Source organism: Homo sapiens, chromosome 4, assembly GCF_000001405.40.
Source record: "Homo sapiens chromosome 4, GRCh38.p14 Primary Assembly".
Classification (NCBI taxonomy): domain Eukaryota; kingdom Metazoa; phylum Chordata; class Mammalia; order Primates; family Hominidae; genus Homo; species Homo sapiens.
In genome coordinates, this window is record NC_000004.12 from 145496734 (window position 1) to 145513894 (window position 17161).

At 35.8% G+C, this 17161-nt stretch overlaps 1 protein-coding gene and 1 long non-coding RNA gene across 15 annotated transcripts in view, besides 1 other annotated feature; one reads left to right on the plus strand and one right to left on the minus strand.

Annotated features, from left to right (window-relative positions):
* The window catches only part of SMAD1 (SMAD family member 1), a 78407-nt gene that overhangs the window by 15964 nt on the left and 45282 nt on the right, over positions 1-17161 (plus strand). The window contains exon 1 of one of the 14 annotated variants that reach the window (XM_047415691.1): positions 7092-7246. The exons of 12 other annotated variants lie outside the window; for them this stretch is intronic. The gene's annotated coding sequence lies outside the window, so the exon portion shown is untranslated. Of the gene's footprint in view, positions 1-7091; positions 7247-7437; positions 16750-17161 lie in introns of those variants that run through there. One more of the 14 variants, XM_047415689.1, reaches the window with a different exon arrangement.
* On the minus strand, positions 316-6247 carry SMAD1-AS2 (SMAD1 antisense RNA 2). Its single transcript, NR_108077.1, has 2 exons — positions 6143-6247; positions 316-1333 (listed from the first exon to the last, which is right to left on the minus strand). It is a non-coding gene; the product is annotated as an SMAD1 antisense RNA 2 (long non-coding RNA).
* Positions 10941-11141: a silencer, noted in NCBI's record as "peak5131 fragment used in MPRA reporter construct". NCBI's record gives its function as "represses an SCP1 promoter by STARR-seq MPRAs in K562 erythroleukemia cells {active_cell/tissue: K562}" and the evidence as "EXISTENCE:reporter gene assay evidence [ECO:0000049][PMID:32103011]".

Here is a 17161-nt window from a genome sequence, read left to right on the forward strand (position 1 = left end):
TATACCAAGGGATGACTATACTTCTGTTGAAATTTGATGGAGACCATGGATGCACTTTTATACAGTGTTTCCCATAAAACCACCTACCACTTTCTCCCTTTGAAGTTGGTGGTGATAGTGATAAAAGTTTCTTGAGTTTTCAAACTAGTATGTTTCAGGTGTTCTGTAAAAGTCTGTTTTTTTGCCTATACTCTGAATTCCAAGAGAAAGAGTGATTTATATGACATAAAATGTTTGTCTTTATGTTTTTATAATATACTAAAACACTATAGTTAACCGTCATCCATTTACAGATTTTCCACAGCAATTTTTGAATCTTAAATAGGCATTTCTCTAGAATTTACTATGTTCTCAGGGCATATTGTAGTTTTATTAATAGTGTAAGCAAAATATAAATGATTAAAAGCTTTGATGAATCATAATACATTGTAGAAGCAATAGTTAATTACTAGTAAGGCTGCTTTGGATTATCTGTCCCATTTTTCATACCCACTGAAACAGCTGGTTGATATTTGGACTATTTGGATTTCCACTGTAGGGTAAGTAACACCGAGCTCAGGATGCGTGGAAGATGTCGTTGTAGCACAGACTGTAGGTCGCTCTGTCTGCACGTATGTTTCTCCTTAGATGAAGAGCCTGAACAGGCGGTCCTGTGACTCTTATCATAGTGTACCATATGATATGGTTCTCCCATCTCTCCCATACACACTTCATAACCATAAGCTTGATGGTAATGGGAACTGTGTTATACTCATTTTCTTTCTACTGCACCTTTATGTTGGTGATAAGGGCTTAAAAATTTGTTCAGTTAAATACTGGATTAATGGAAACGAAAGCCTTCTTAGTAGCTGAGCGTGTAAAGGAGGAGAACTTGGGTTCTGAAGTCTTCTGAGAATATTGTCTTGGGTTTTTCCATTGTAATTGGTAAATAAATTACTTTAGGGAAGTTAGCAGATAAGACTGTACTGAACAAGTGATCAGAGGTAGAAAGGACTAGATTCATGGGCACAGGGCTCACCTAATTCTATAGGTGATGCTTGCTTATATCTAAAGCATTATTTCTCTAAAACCAGTGAAAAACTTTGCATTTGCTTCTTTTAGCTCTTAGGTGGAGGGAGCTCTCACATTCTGGAAGAGGGGGTTGCTGCTATTTGTTCAGTTTCTCCTCCAAGGTGGCCAAATGAATGTTTGCAATTCCAGTCCAGTTTTTGGCAGATTGAAAAAGTCTGTCATTGATTGTCATATGAGAGTGGAATCTGGCCGATGTCAATGTTTGTTTCAGTGGTTAGATAAACTTTGATTTTTAGAAGTTATTCTTTCAAATAACAGATTTCTGTAATGGAAAAAGGACAGGACCAAATTGCTTGTGAAGATATTTGAATAACATAGAACATTTTTATTTTAATAAGAAATTCATGCATTGAAAAATTTGATGGATATTTGAACAGTTAATAAAAAGGGGAGTAAGGGTCTAAAATGGGAGGGAAACTTACTTTTTTGCTATAATATGCCATTTTTTGAAATGGAATTTTTTGATTATGTGCCTGAATCCTTAATAAAAGAGTACATTCCATTCCTATCCATATCATATTAACCCAGAATAGGGTCATGTATTTTACCAGAATACATTTCTCTGAAAATCCTATGCAGATACACTTTCAATTATTTTTTTTCCTTTATACAAAGATATATCTTGCCACCTGTTGGTCATAATGCTGTCTTCTAGAGCCATGTAGAAATAACTCTCTTACCTACTGTCAGTTTTTATTTATTTTTGTTATTGTGGTTTTAAATTTGAAAACAGCAATTGGTTAAAACTAAAAGTAGTTGGCTCTCCTGCACTCCCTTGTACCCAGCTCACTCCTAAAGGTAACTACTTGTTCAGTTTCATTTATTTTTTTCTAGGCCTTTAAAAATGCACATGTATATACATAGACAGTTTTTGTTTCTATTTGTGTTTTTAGAAAGAGACCATACTATAGATACTTTTTACCACTTCTTACTGAACAGTTGTGGTATGGTTTTCTTTTCATGGTAGTATTGTACATGAAAGTCCATCTGTTTTTTCTTATTTTATTAACAGTTACATCATAGTCGAATGTATCATAATTTATTTAATCATTCCATTATTGTTAGGCACCTGGGTTATTTAGAACACGAATATACTTGAACATAGATCTTTGTGTGTGTTCATCTGAGGGAGCTGTTTCCCCTGTGGCTCTCTCAAGCCGTGGCTGGTTTTTCCCATAAACCTTTTACCTCTTATTGCCACCTTCAGACCATTCTTCTACCATCCTCTATAAAAAACACCCAACTTCGACTATCATGTAAAATTATACCACTCATTACTCTTCCTTGTTAGTCATTTTCTGCCCCATTGCCCATATCGTTCACTCTAATTCCTACAAGATTTAACTCCTGGTTGTTATTCCCTTTATACTATAGGTTGAGCGACCCTAATCTGAAAATTCAAAATGCTCCAAGATCCAAAACTTTTTGAGGACTGATATGGCACCACAAGTGGAAAATTCTGCACCTAACTTTATCTGACAGGTCACAGTCAAAACTTTTTTGTGCACAAAATTATTAAAATTATTTTATAAGATTGGCCAGGCATGGTGGTTCATGCCAGTAATCCCAACCCTTTGGGAGGCTGAAGCGGTGGATCACTTAGCCCAGAAGTTTGAGACCAGCTTGGGCAATGTGGCAAAACCCTGTCACTAATAAAAATCCAAAAATTAGCCAGGCGAGATGGCACTTGCCCGTAGTCCCAGCTATTCAGGAGGCTGAGGTAGGAGGATCACTTGAACCTGGGAGGTCTAGGCTGCAGTGAGCCATGCCACTGCACTCCAGCGTGGGCAACAGAGCAAGACCATGTCTCAAGAAAAAAAGAAAAATTTCAGCCTATGTGCATAAGGTGTAGATGAAACATACATTAATTTTATGTTTAGACTTGGGTCCCATCCCCAAGATATCTCATTTTATATATTCAGAATATTCCAACATCCAAAAATACCTGGAATCTGAAACACCATCTGGTCCCAAGCATTTCAGATAAGGGATACTCAACCTGTATTCCTGTACAGGAATTATGGACATTTAGTCCATAATTCTTGGACTACTTCTCCTCCAGTGGCCTTGTCTTTGGTCCTACCTCAGATATTCAATCTCTGGGTAGAAAGATTCCATAAAAAAAGAAGAAAAAAATCTCGCTCAGTCTTACAGTTCCCATAATACGGGTTTTCATACTTCTAAAAATTAAACAATTCTCCAACCTTACAGTTAATTATTTTCTTTATATAAGCAGTAAAGTATTATTTGTTCATGTCTGTACTTTGAGAATATATCCAGAATCTGACGACTTCTGCCACGCTGGTTGAAATCTTTATCATCTTGTACCTTAACAATTGCCATAGCTTCCTAACTGGTCTCCCTACCCACCACTCCCTACTTCGATCCCTGCGTCCTTCAGTATGTTCTCAACCCAGCAAGCCACAGTAATTCTATTAAACTCTAAGTTGGATGATGGCTCTCCTCTGCTCAGATCTCCCAGTGTTTCCATCTCAATTTGGGTCAAAAGCTCTGAAGTCTCTGTGGGTCCCGCACATACCTTCCCCTGTGACCTCTCTGGCCTCATCTCTCATTTCTCTCCCCTCACTCCATTCCAGCCTCAGTGAGGACTCCTTGCCATTCCTTGAACATCTCAGGATCATTCTTGCCAAATGGCTCAAATGGCTTTTGCAATTGCCCTTCTCTCTGCTTGGAATGCCCTTCCCCAGATAATTCCTTTCAGGGGGCTGTTCAGATACCACATTCACGACGAGGCTTTCCCTGACCACCAGAATGTAGGCCCCACCAAGGCACAGAAACAGACTTTGAAAAACTTTTTGTGTCTCTTTCAGTGCTGCGTTTCTAGTGCTTAGAATAGTGCCTGGCATGTGATAGCTGTTTGTTGAGTGAATTGAATAACTGTAGTGGTTACTAGTTTTTCTCTTTTTGTATGAAGTTAGAACTTCATTAAACAGACAAAAACTAGACTGTAAACCTCATTTTTTTGGATATGCAAAATATTAAAATTAGCCTTATTTGTGAACCTGCTTTGTTAATCACTTTGTTTTTCAGCATGTTATAATTTTGAAGTAAGCCTTTCATGTTTATATTTAATCTGCCTAACCCAGTGGATTGGGTGATGGTATCACAATTTTGTGGAAAAGCAAATTGAGGCTCAGAGTTGTTTTCTTCAAAGTACAGCTACTAAGTGGACAGCTGCAGTTCAAACCTATTCAAGTTAAGGACACTTGTTTTCTAATTTAGAAACCATCTTAAAATGACAAAAAAGTAGGTAGAGGTTTTATTTGAAAGCATGGAGAATGTGCCCCAATTTCTCATTCTGGGTTTTGTCTGCCTTTTGTTTCCATTTTCAAAATATGTAAAATAAATGGTTAACTTTAAAATTCCTGACAATGACAGATCAACAAGTTTTATTTCTCTCACCTGTGGAGGAAGTGGCCTCCACCCAGTTTTACTGAATTAGGAGGGAAGTGATTTTTTCAAGTGATAAAAAGAAATAAAATTCCATGCTCTTCCCAGAGGAGGAGTTCAACAATTGGGAAAGTGGCGTGAGACCATATGTTGGTTTGTAAAAGGATATAACTTGTAAAGATGTTTCCTTTGATGCCTGTGATGAATATGGATGTGTTTCCCTTCTAGAGGGTCCTGATTAAATTATGCAATTAAGAGCTGAGCTGAAGGATCTAAATATAGGAAGAGAGTTCAGGCCGTCCTGCTTTGTGTCTGTCAGTTCACCCCTACAGATGTGCATGTTTGTTGTCATAAACAGCACCTGTGAGATCAGTGGAGCGAGAGAAATATGTTCCAAAACATGAAATACAGCAGGATTTTTGTTTCTTTTTTTTTTTTTAAAGGGATAGTTTTTTCCTCCTGTAGTTGATTCCATTTTCATCTGTGAATTTGATATTTGGATTACCTTTTTTTTTTTTAAACTTGACTGAGGGACTTCAGTATTAGTCAGTACTGGTTTAAAATATAGATATACTACTTACCAGAATATGGTCTGGAGAAAGTTACTTTAACCTCTGAGCCTCAAGTTTATTACTAAAATTGAGATAATGATTTCTACCTTGAAGCATTGGTGTGAGGAGTCAATGTAATAATGTTTGTAAAAACAACCAGTATAATGCTTGTATAAGTTGGTAACTCAAACAATTTCGTTTATTAGCTACTGACGAATCATTCATAACTAGCCACTTACGGAAATCTACCACATTTAGCATTCTTTGTAGTCTAAAATTGCTATTTTAGGATAACTGACTCAAAGAGAATAGTTTTTTCTGAGACAACTACCATAGACTTTCTCCTGGGATAGTCAATAAAATTAAATCTTAAAATGTCTGTGGTCTTCAATCTTTCCTGTGTTTGAGGAGTGAGCATTTGTAGGCCAGGAGTCTTTACAGTGTTTGAGTTGACATGAATGTGAATGGCCTTTATCAGGATGAGCTTATGGGGAGCTGGACATCTTGAAAGGCTACCGTGTCCTGAAGGACAGTATGCCATTACAAGCATGAATTTGGGAATGGGGGTTCAATGGGATTAAGGAATGTTGTACAACTTTTAGAGGAAATGGCAAGAAGATATAGAAAAGCCAACTTTGTTTGTTGAAGTTGGGGACAATAAGAAAACTTTCAATTGCCTTAACTATTCAAGTAATCATCTAATCAGACAAAACAGATGTGACAGCTGCTATTTTATAGGGAATCTCTGTGATTAAGAAAAATTAACCAGGTACTCTATTAGCAGCCTAGATTTGTCAGGATGGAAGGATTTGTGTATGCAGAACAGAACCAGAAAGAACTCTTTTTAAAGAATTTTCTGATATAATGAAGATACGTTAATAGCACACTTGGCACACCTAAAATAAATAAACTACAGTTATATCCTTAGAGACTCTTGTCATTCTGACATCCATAAGTTCCTTGCTTCCTTTTCATCAAGGAGATGCTACTTTTGAAATTGTTTGGCTGAAATTTCACAGCTTCAGTGAACTTACAAGTGGTAAGTAGTAAGCTGGAATTCAGTCTACATGGTATTCCTTTTCTTTTTGATTCCTAAGATTTCTACTCACTTAACACTGTTGAGGGACCAAATTGCATCTCTTGCTGGCATGTCACTTAAGTTATACTGGAGAGACTGGAAGACTTGCTGTCAGTGTCTGCGCTTTAAACGCACAGTGTCTGCGCTTTAAAGGCAATAGTACCTGCATTATTGCATCACTATAAATAGAATTTCACGAACTGAACCTCTCTCCTATCTCCAACCCCCAATTTCTCCAGATTTAGAAAATCAGTCTCCGGCAAAAATAAATTTTCAGTGGGAAAAATGTCAAACTAGCTATTCTGCATCATCAGTCCCATGTTTGGAAGTAGCCAGATCAAGGCTGAATAGTAAGAGGCTCAGTAAGATGGAACTTTACTTGTGGTGTTTGTGATGGTAGGACTCTCCTGCTGCTGTGAACTGAGAGCAGCAGAGTTCTGTGTTCTCTGTGGGTCTCCGTATGGCTTTCTTGTGTAGGAATTTGGTTTAAATACATTTTTCCCCTAAGGACTAAAGCGAAATAGAGTTCATTATAGCCTTTTTAGCAATGAAGTTAAGCGCTGTACTTTATGAAGTACGTTAGCATCAGTAAAGAGCAAGGTTTTATCCATTTTCATTTTTCTTTCTGTTCTAGAGGTTTTTTCCTCCCTTATTTTGCTTAGTGGTGAGTTTTATTTAGCTAAATTTGACTCATTTGAGATTGAGACAAATGTTGAAAGTTGAGGGCTAACTGCTGTTTTAAAACAGGAAAAAGGAATGCAGGCACTTCACCTGTTTCCTCCTCCAATACAAATACAGCAGGTCCTCAGACAACCTCATTTCATTCAATGCCATTTCCTTATAACGTTGATGAGAAAAAACATTCCCAGCCTAGGCCACTGTCTGTGTGGAGTTTGCACATTCTCCCCATGTCTGCTTGGGTTTTCTCTGGCTACTCTAGTTTCCTCCCATATCCCAAAGGTGTGCACGTTAGGTGAATTAGTATGTCTACATTGTCCCCATTGCAGTGCATGTAGGTGTGTGTGTGAGTGCGCCCTGCCATGAAATGGTGTCCTGTCCAGGGGTGGTTCCCACCTTGTGCCCTAAGCTGCTGGGATCGGCTCGGGCCACTGCGACCCTGAATTGGAATAATTGGGTAAATAATTATCTTGTTTCTGTTCATCTTTCTTAAATGTATATATGGCTCACATTTATTTCAGTGTTAATTTTAGAAGTGTTTTGGGTCTCAGAAGTTTGGTAATGTTTTTGTGACCAGAAATGTCCTGAAGGAACTTAACTCTTGTTTATATAAATTAGCTGATGCTAAAATTAATTTTGTTTTACATCGTTTCACTTAGAGCCACAGTTTCCAAGAACCCGTAAGGACTTTACTGTATCTGAAAACCTGGTTAGCTCCTAACTGGAGTAACTGGGTTAAAGAAGCATTTGAACATTATTTGTTGAACCAGATCAAAGAACATTGCTACTTTAGGGTATTTTCTGGAACTGAAATAACTAGATCCATTTCTGTTTTTATATTCATTGTAATGGCATTGGACTTGTATAGCAAATTTTAACTTGTCTTTTGCCTGTCTGCCTTAACCTTAAGGGTAGATATTTATCATTTTCCTTAAGGAGCTGTACAATAATCTTTCATGCTTTTTGTTAGGAACCATTTACAATTCCTACTGTCTGCTACTTATCGTTGTGTTCTACTTGTTCTAGAGTTCTGTCTCCACCTGTCTTCATTTTTAGGGGTACTGTTTTTTAGGGGTACTATTTCTCTGTTTGGAAATGTGAGCGGATGGCAGTTTCTGCCTCAGCCCTCTTGCTGGGCCATTGTCTCATGTGGGTTGTCTGCTGTTCCACATTTAAGTAATAGTTATTTCAGCTTTATCAAAAGTTTGTAAGTTCCCAGTTCTTCTGGACTTCTGATTAATTCAGCCTGATTTTATTTAGGGCAAATGATTATGATCCCCTTTCCATTTTGTGAATTTTTCATATTTTACCAATAAATCTCATTGCAATTCTTTGCTTACAAGATGGCTTGAAAGATGCAAGCAATGATGGATTGCTCTTTATTGTTTTAAAATATTTATTGGCCTTAAATTGCTGAAATAATATGGTTTTTCCAACCTTTGTGTTTTTATGCATTTTTAACCCTACGTCTTTAGTGTATAATCTTCTGTGAGTCTGTGGTTTCTATAAGTGTCAGGAATTTTTCAGGTGTCTTTATTATCCTTTGAAATCATGATCTATTTGGACAATTCCATCTTTGTTTGGACTATACAGTTGACTTGAGTACCTAAGTGAAATGGAGCAGGTTAGAAAAAAGTAGTTTGTTTTATAGTAATGAGAATTACATTACAAGTCCCCTGGCATGTTCCCCTTTGACCTTTTTTGATGTTTTAATTTAAGCATCTCAAACAAGGCAAGAGTTGATCTCACCAGGCCTTGAATCCTATCCAAAATTGGATGTTAGGATAGATGACACATACATTTCTGTAATACTAATTAATATTGCCAGTTAATATTGATCACTTTCTACAACATGTCTCTGAGATATCTTGCATCTCCATGGCATCTAATGAGGTGTATTGTGAAATAGTTTCATATATTAAAAATACTGGAAAATAATATAAAAAATTAGCTGGGCGTGGTGGTGGGCACCTGTAGTCCTAGCTGCTCCGGAGGCTGAGGCAGGAGAATGGTGTGAACCCAGGAGGTGGAGGCTGCAGTGAGCCGAGATCGCGCCACTGCACTGCAGCCTGGGCGACAGAGCAAGACTCTGTCAAAAAAAAAAAAAAAAATGCTGAACTACAAAATTCATGCAGTTTGCTTATAATCACTCTGAAGCCCACCATAGGTCTACTCTGGAAGCTCAAGTCTTACTTTTTCTGTGTATTCACAAGACCAGTCTATCTGTTTAAGAATATATCTGGCGATGTAAGTCTGGAAATACGCACTTAGGTGGTTTTGTTACTTAGAAATATTTGTTTCCAAAAAGGAAAAAAAAGGTCAAACAATTTTTTTTTTTTTGAGGCGGAGTCTCAATCTGTCACCCAGGCTGGAGTGCAATGGCACAATCTTGGCTTACTGCAACCTCCACCTCCCTGTTCAAGTGATTCTCTTGCCTCAGCCTCCCAAGTAGCTGGGTCTAAAGGTGTACACCACTATGCCCGGCTTATTTTTGTATTTTTAGTAGATACAGGGTTTCACCATGTTGGCCAGGCTGATCTTGAACTCTTGACTGGTGATCCCCCCTCCTCGGTCTCCCAAAGTGCTGGGATTACAGGTGTGAGCCACCAAGCCTGGCCGATCAAACAGAATTTTTATAAAGTTGTCTTTAAAAAAAAGAAAAAAAAAGTATCCAGCTGTTAAACATTTTCAAAGTGAAGTTAATCAATACCCTGTACTTTTAGTTCCTTAATTCTTTTGATCTTTGTGCCATGATTTTTTACTATTAGTTAAGAAAGTGTAATGAACCAAAGAACAAGAAGTAGGGGGAGAAAAGAGTTGCCTGCTTCATTTGACAATAGACCATTTATCTTCTGTTATTTGCCTTTCTTAAAGTACGGAGAGTTTTTGGATTTTTTTCCCCCAGTCACTTTTTGTAGCCTGTATTTTTTGTTTATTTTATTGAATAATACAATTATTCCCTCAATATTTAATGGGAGCATTTATTTTGTCTGCTGAATTCCATACTGGTGCAAGAATTATAAAACAGCCTCTAGTCTGAAGCTGATACAGAGAGTGGTTGAACATTATTTGTCTCCTAATCTTTTTATTAAAGGGGGTTGTAACATTTGGTGGTTACTCCTTCCTTTAAAAAACAATTATATCTTCATATACAAATTAGGGTAATTAAAAAAAAACTTTCTGTGGGAATTTGGGATCTGTAACATATTAAATGGAAGAGAGTGTATTTTGTTGATATTCACAGGAGTTGGATAATTTACTTGTTGCTTTACTAGATGAGGCCAAGGTGAAGAAAATGCCCATTTGTTCTGCAATTGGCTGATTAGGCTTCCTTTAAATATAAAGCAAGTTACATAGCAGTTAAGAGTATTTTAACATTTTTTTCTTTTAATATTAAGGAATAACACATAAGTTGGAAAATTAATTAGCCGTGTCGAGTAGTATAAGAGTATTTTTCTAATTTCACTTCTGGCAGTTCTGATAGAAATCCTTCCCATGGGTGAGACTCCTTAGGAAAACGTTCTGAGTTCAGAACACTGCTTTAAACTACATTATATTTTTTTTGCTTCTCAAACCAGATCACACTATAAATCCAACCTGATTTCTAAGTAGAGTATAGATGTGGCTTGAGATAATGAATTGATTTTTGTGGGTTTTTTTTTTTTGTAATTAGCAAATATTTGCTTCGAAAACCTTTTTATAAAAAATCAGAAGTTACATTTTTTCATTAAAGAACGTTTGAAAAGTTTAGAAAAGGAGGAGAGAGACACATTACTAATCTTCCAAACCCAGTCATGGTTAATATTTTCATATATTTACATAGTTGTTCATGGTACATATAACCAACCATTTTATGTTCTGCGTACAGTTTTCCCCAAATTATTACGTAGTCTTTATGAACATAATTTTTAAGGTCTGTATAATATTCCATTGAGTGGATGTATGCAGTTTACTTAGGTATTTTTCAATTATTAGATGTTTCTCTTTTTTTCCCTATTATAAATAATGCTCTGATGAAAATCTTTGTGCAAAAACAATTTTCCCTTTCTGGTTCAGAATATTTCCTTAGAGTAAATTTCTGAAGATAAAGTTGCTGGAATAAAGATCTCAATATTTTTAAGGCTGCTGGGTTTTTTTTTTTTTACTAGATGAATACTTTTTTGTTAGTGTGAAATGTTTATATTTGGACAAGAGGGAAGGAAATCTCTGTTTGCTGACTCATGTTTTTATTTTGCACTTTAAACTGATAAGGCCACTTAGCTTTTGACATAAACTAAGGCAGGAAGTACAAAAAGGGGCAGAAAAAAAGTAGTTGTCTTGCCAAGGCCATAGTATCATGGACTCATTTGAGTTCCTTATATGAGGTAGGTTACCTGTTTGACTTGTATATTAAAAAATGCTTAACTCAGGTAAAAATTAGTCATCAGCCTGCATTTTGTTTTGTCTGGGCATGTTTATATGCAAAGTGCTGTGATCTTTCACTTTAATTTTCGTGAGTGGCCTCAAGACATTTACCACCTAACTGGCTTCTATAATGTTTGGATGCCCTTGGTTTAGATTTTTTTTTTTTTTTTTGCTCCCAGTATGAAGAAATCTTTCTGTATTGAAGATATTACCTTAGTTGTCTTTCTAAAATGTAGATCTAATAATGCTAATTCTCAGATTTAAAACCTTCCACTTGTCCATATGATAAGATTCTTCAGTCTTGCCCCTTCCTTCATATCAGCTTGTATCATCATCTCCAGCGGATTAAACCCTAGCATTTCTATCATGTGTCTGTTGGAACAAGCCATTTGGAAAAGTGGTTTAAAAATTCTGGCTCTAGAGCCAGGCAAAATGGGTTCAGATCCAGGTTCTGCCACTTATAGCTGTCTACATAACTTTGGACAAGATACTCAACTATTCTATATTTTATTTTCCTTACATGTAAAATAAAGAAAATGATAGTATTTACTTCACAGTAAATACTAAGGTATTGTTGCTAAGATTAAACTGGTTAATAGATAAACAGCAGTGAACAGTGTTTGTCAAGTAATGAACACACAAAATGTTTGCTCTATTGTTTTGCAAAATTCTACTTATCCTTTAAGTCTGATGTTTTCTCTTGGAAAAAAATGTTCTGAAATCTCTGGAATTGTTCTTTCCTTTTCCGTTTTTATATATTATTGTCTTAGTTTGTAGGCCGCTATAACAAAATACCATATAGACTGAGTGGCTTATAAACAACAGAAATTTATTTCTCAAAGTTACAGTAACTGGGAAATCCAAGATCAAGGTACCTGGATGGCCTCTTCTCTCTGTAACCTCATATGGTGGAAGGGAGGAGAGATCTCTCTGGGATCTCTTTTATGAGGGCACTAATTCCATTTATGGGAGCTCCGTCCTCATGACCTAATCACCTCCCAAAGGACTCACCTTCTAATTCTGTCACCTTTGGGGTTAGGATTTCAACATGTGAATTTAGGGAGGGGATACAAATATTCAGACCAGAGTGTTGTTGATACTTGTTTTATAGCCTTTATCACATGATATTAGAGTAAGTTAATAGTAGGTAAATGCACAGCACATGGGCCTCTTCTTCGGTTATTCTTGTGCCCATGGGCAATGGTATAATCGTATTATTTCTTCTGACTGAGTCCCTGGAAGGTCACCTAATAAAACATCTCAGCAAAGTCCTTTAGAATTAGCATGCAGGTTAGCAATTTGCTTTATGGGAGTTAGTTGTTTACACACTGGCTTTCCCAATGGATTGTGAGCTCCTCCAGTATGTTAGACATGTTTGCTTCTGTGTCTCCTGTGTCTAGCACTGTGCTAGGCATACTTAGCAGGTGCTTAATACAGCTTTGTTGAATGAATGTCGATTTGAATAGTTAAAACAAAAATCTGAAATGGTGGTTCTTATATAATACGTTGCCCAACACTTGCCTTAAATAAATACCCCCAAGTGATTTTGGGGGTATTTGTTTAAATGTATTTGTTATATATTTTAAAATAGCCCCAAGTTATTTTGATGCAAACTTAGCCATTCTGTTTAAAAATTATTGCTTAAAATGTTAAAAAGCTGTTTTTGAAGAAGAGATGGACATATAGAATATGAAGAAATACACTCCCTCTATAAATTATTCCCAGAAGCCTAGAAAAAAGTTCTTGTTCTTTTGCAAAACTAACCTTTTAGTAAAAGGAAATTATCATATCAATAGGTACACTCTGACCAAGTGTGACTTTTGATAATAGCATAGTTTTGTTTTCTCTTTCCTTTAATGTTAAATGAAAATAATACCAACTTCAAAAAAACTAGTAAATTTGGGTGAACTCTTTAAAAAGGAAAACAGCGGACACCCTGTGGCCTCCCAAATAGAGTTGACGCTCCGTATTTGGCTTTCTAAGTTCTTCAAGGAGCTAAATTATTCATCAGGCATTTAGTGAGAATCAGCTATGTGCCAGGTACTATGCCAAGTTCCAAAGGTAAGAAAATAATAAGTTGGAGTCCTACATTGTTTCCTGTAGTGAAGATGACAGATGTGTAGATTATCACAATGTAGCTATAGACATGCACCGTTTGCCATGACAGCTATTTATAATAATTATAATTTTTAATTTCTGAGGCTAACGATTTCCCCATTCTGATCCATTTATTGGTAATTTGTGCCTTCTCTTTTTTATTTATCAGTTTTGCTAGGGATTTATCCAATTTTATTAGTATTTTCAAAGAATCAACTTTGATTTTATAGGTTTTCTTTAGTATGCTTTAAATTTCTGCTTTCATTTTCTTCTACTTTCTTTGGGTTTATTTTTCCTTTTAAAAAATCTTTGGCGGGTATTAGAGTGTTAGTTTTCAGCTTTTTTCCTTTTCTAATATATGCATTTAAGACTATAAATTTCCCTCTGTGCCTTGAGCCACATCCTGCATTTTTGATGTGATATTTTTACAATCATTCAGTTAAAAATATTTTCTATTTCCTCTATAATTTCTTCTTTGACCTTTGGGTTATTTTAAAGTTTGGTTCTTTTCAATAACAATGTTTTTATTGATTTAGTTATACTAAAATCAAAGAATATGTTCTATATGATTTTAGTATTTTGATACAGATTGAGATTTGCTTTGTTATTCATTATATGGTCAATTTCAGTAAGTATTCCTTGCGTATTTGAAAGTGTTATGAATTGTACAGTTGTTGAGTGCTGTGATAATATGTATATGAATTGGATCAAGTTTTTAAACAATTTTTTTCTGTATCTATTGATTTTTGTTTGCTTGTTTTATCATTTATTATGTTAATCTCCCACTAGGATTGTGGGTTTGCCTGTCATTGTAATTGTTAGTCTTTTGCTTTATGAATTTGAGACTGTTATTATTTACATAAAATTTGGAATTTAAAAACTACATGGTGGCTCAACTCATCACTATAAAATGTCCTTTTTTTCTTTTTTGTCTTTAAAAATCTCTGGTGATACCTCTTACTTTTGAAGTCTGTTTTATCTGAATGGATAGCTATGCCAGCTTTTTGGGTGGAATATGCATAGTATATATTTTTCCACTCTCTTGCTTTCAATACTGTGTTCTTATATTTAATGTGTGTCTCTTTTAAGTACAATATGGTTAAATAATGTTCCCCACAACTCTCTTAGTTGTCATATTTTAGTCATTTATATTTAAGTAATTGCTTATACTTTGGGATTATATCTAAATCTTACTATTTTCTGTTTGTCTCATCTGTTGTCTCCTTTTCATATGTTTTGCATTAATCATTTTTAAAATTTTTATTTGATTTTTAGAGACGCTCTCACTCTGTCACTCAGGTTGGAGTGCAGTGGCACAATCATAACACCTATCATAACTCCTAGGCTCAAGCAGTCCTCCTGCCTCTGCCCCCTGAGTGGCTGAGACTGCAGGCACATGCCACCTTGCTGGACTACTTTTTTACTTTTTGTAGAGATAGGGTCTTCCTGTGCTGCCCAGGCTACTCTGGAACTCCTCAAGCTATCCTTCTACCTTGGCTTCCCAGAGTGCTGGGATTACTGGGCTAATCATATATATTTTTTTAATTCCATATTTTTAACCCATCTATTAGCTTGTTATAATTTTTAACTTATTCTCTCAGTTGTTGCTTTATTATGACATGAATTCATAACTTACTGTACTAATAGTAAATTATACTTTACCATGGCCTGGATAACACAAGGACCTTAGAATGCTAACTTCATATATCTCTTTTTGCTGTTGCCATGCATTTTAATTGTACATATATTTTAAACATCACAAGACATTCCTATTGTTGTTTTGTGAAGTCAGTATTCATTTAAACTTACCCTTATTTCCCCTTCAGGAGCTCTTCCTCATTTCCTGCAGTTCTTTGCTTATTTCTAGAGTCTTTTTCCTTCTGCCTGAAGAATTCCTGTTAGTATTTCTTTTAGTGACAATCTGCTGTAAACCAGTTCTCTCAGATTTTGATTGTTGGAAAGCATCTTTATTTCACAATCATTTTTTGAATGTGTTTTTCCTCTAAATGTAGAATTTTAAGTTACCAGCTATTTACGTTTGGCACTAATGATGTCATTTCATTGTCTTCTGGTTTCCATTGTTTATGCTGAAATGTCAGCTGTCAACCTGATTGTACTTACTTGAAGGTAATGTGCCTTTTTAAAGAGTTTCATCTTAGGTTTTCAAGAATTTTACTGTTATATGACACATTGAAATTTGTGGATTTCTCTGTATGTATCCTTGGAAGGTGTAGGGCTTCGTGAATGTATGGTTAGATGTCTGTTGACAGTTTTGGAAAAATCCTTGGCTAGTATCTAAAAATATTGCTCTGTTACAGTCTTTCTTCTTTTCCTTTAAGACTCTACTTATGCAGTGCTAGACCTTTCACTAGAGCCATTATGTCTCCTTAGTTCTTTATTTTTCATTTTTTCCCTCTCTTTGCATTAGTATGAGCATTTTTTACCAGTCTTCCTGCTCACTAATCTTTTATTCTACTGTATTTAACCTGTTGTTAAGTTCATCCTATTTAAAGTCTCATTAGTTATATTTTTCAGTTCTAGAATTTTTATTTCATTCTTCTTTATGGATTCCAGTTCTCTGTTAAAATCTTCAACCTTGTCTTCTCTTTCCTTGACATAGTAAATAGTAATCATTAATACTTTAAAGTCTGTTTCTGGTAACTCCATTACCTGGGTCACCCGTTAGGTCTGTTTCTATTCTGTTTTGTTTTGATCATTTGGTCCTGTTTCTTGGTATGCTTGATAACTTTTGGTTCATTGCATACACTGTGAATTTAAAATTGTAGTGGCTAAGGTTGATGTTGTCTTCCTCTACAGAGAATTTGTTTTTCTTCTGGCAAGCTGTTAGAGAGCAATACCCATCACCTAGACCAAGGCTAGGATTAAGATGATTCTAGATTGGTTGTAAAGACTGATCCGTTTCATTTTTGCCCTTAGACTGGGGCATATTCCTCCAGGAGCTTCCATTGAAAGCCTAGACTATTTACCAGGGTTTCTCCTCAGCAGGCCCTCAACTCCATTTGTTGCTGTGTTGTTATTTTGGGGTTCCTCAGCGCTATGAGGCTACTAGAAGCTCTGCTTAGTTTTTAGCCTCTTAGTTACCTCTTTCTGCTCGGCTCCTAGACCTTTTGCTGCTCATAGCATAGCTATTGGCAAATCCCTGGAAAGAGTGGTGACGAATATTCAGCTCACTTCATTGCATTTCCCCTCTCTCCAGGATCTTGGCCCCCTCAAGTCCTGAGTGCCTTGGTTCCTCTTTGATGCCTTTAAAAAGCTGGGCTTTTGTTTGTTTGTTTTCTGGCTTGTTTGTTTGGAAGGAGGTTGGTCTGATACGTGCTACTCCAGTTTAGCCAGGGTTTGTACAAAGTTAACCTCCTTAACCTTTTTCACATTTTATGTTTTCATGTGCTAAAGAGTAAACAGTTTAAATGAGGCAACTTGGCTAAAGAATTTGGTACAGTATGTGTCCATGTGCTTTATTCCTTTTATGTCAATAAATAGCAACATTTTTAAAGCAGGAGATGTATTTCCTATCCTATTTGTCCTGTAGCCCATAGACACAGGCTTGTTCACTGAAGAAATACCCTAAAATATTACTACATTTATATAAGAGGAATTTTCTTTTAGCCTAAGAAATATTTGTAGAACAAACCAAAAAAACAGAGATATTAGACTATTTTTTTCTCCCTGTTGCTTTCAGTTTTTGTTGATTGAGGTGTTTTGAAATATATTTTTAGAGGTTATAAATGAATCTAAATCTAAAATATTACAATATCTTTTGAGAACTTGGGCTTTTTAACTTTGTTGCTTTTATCCCAGAGCTTTTGCTAACAGTGGCTTACTTTTTAAACTGCTTCTCAGTTTACTCATC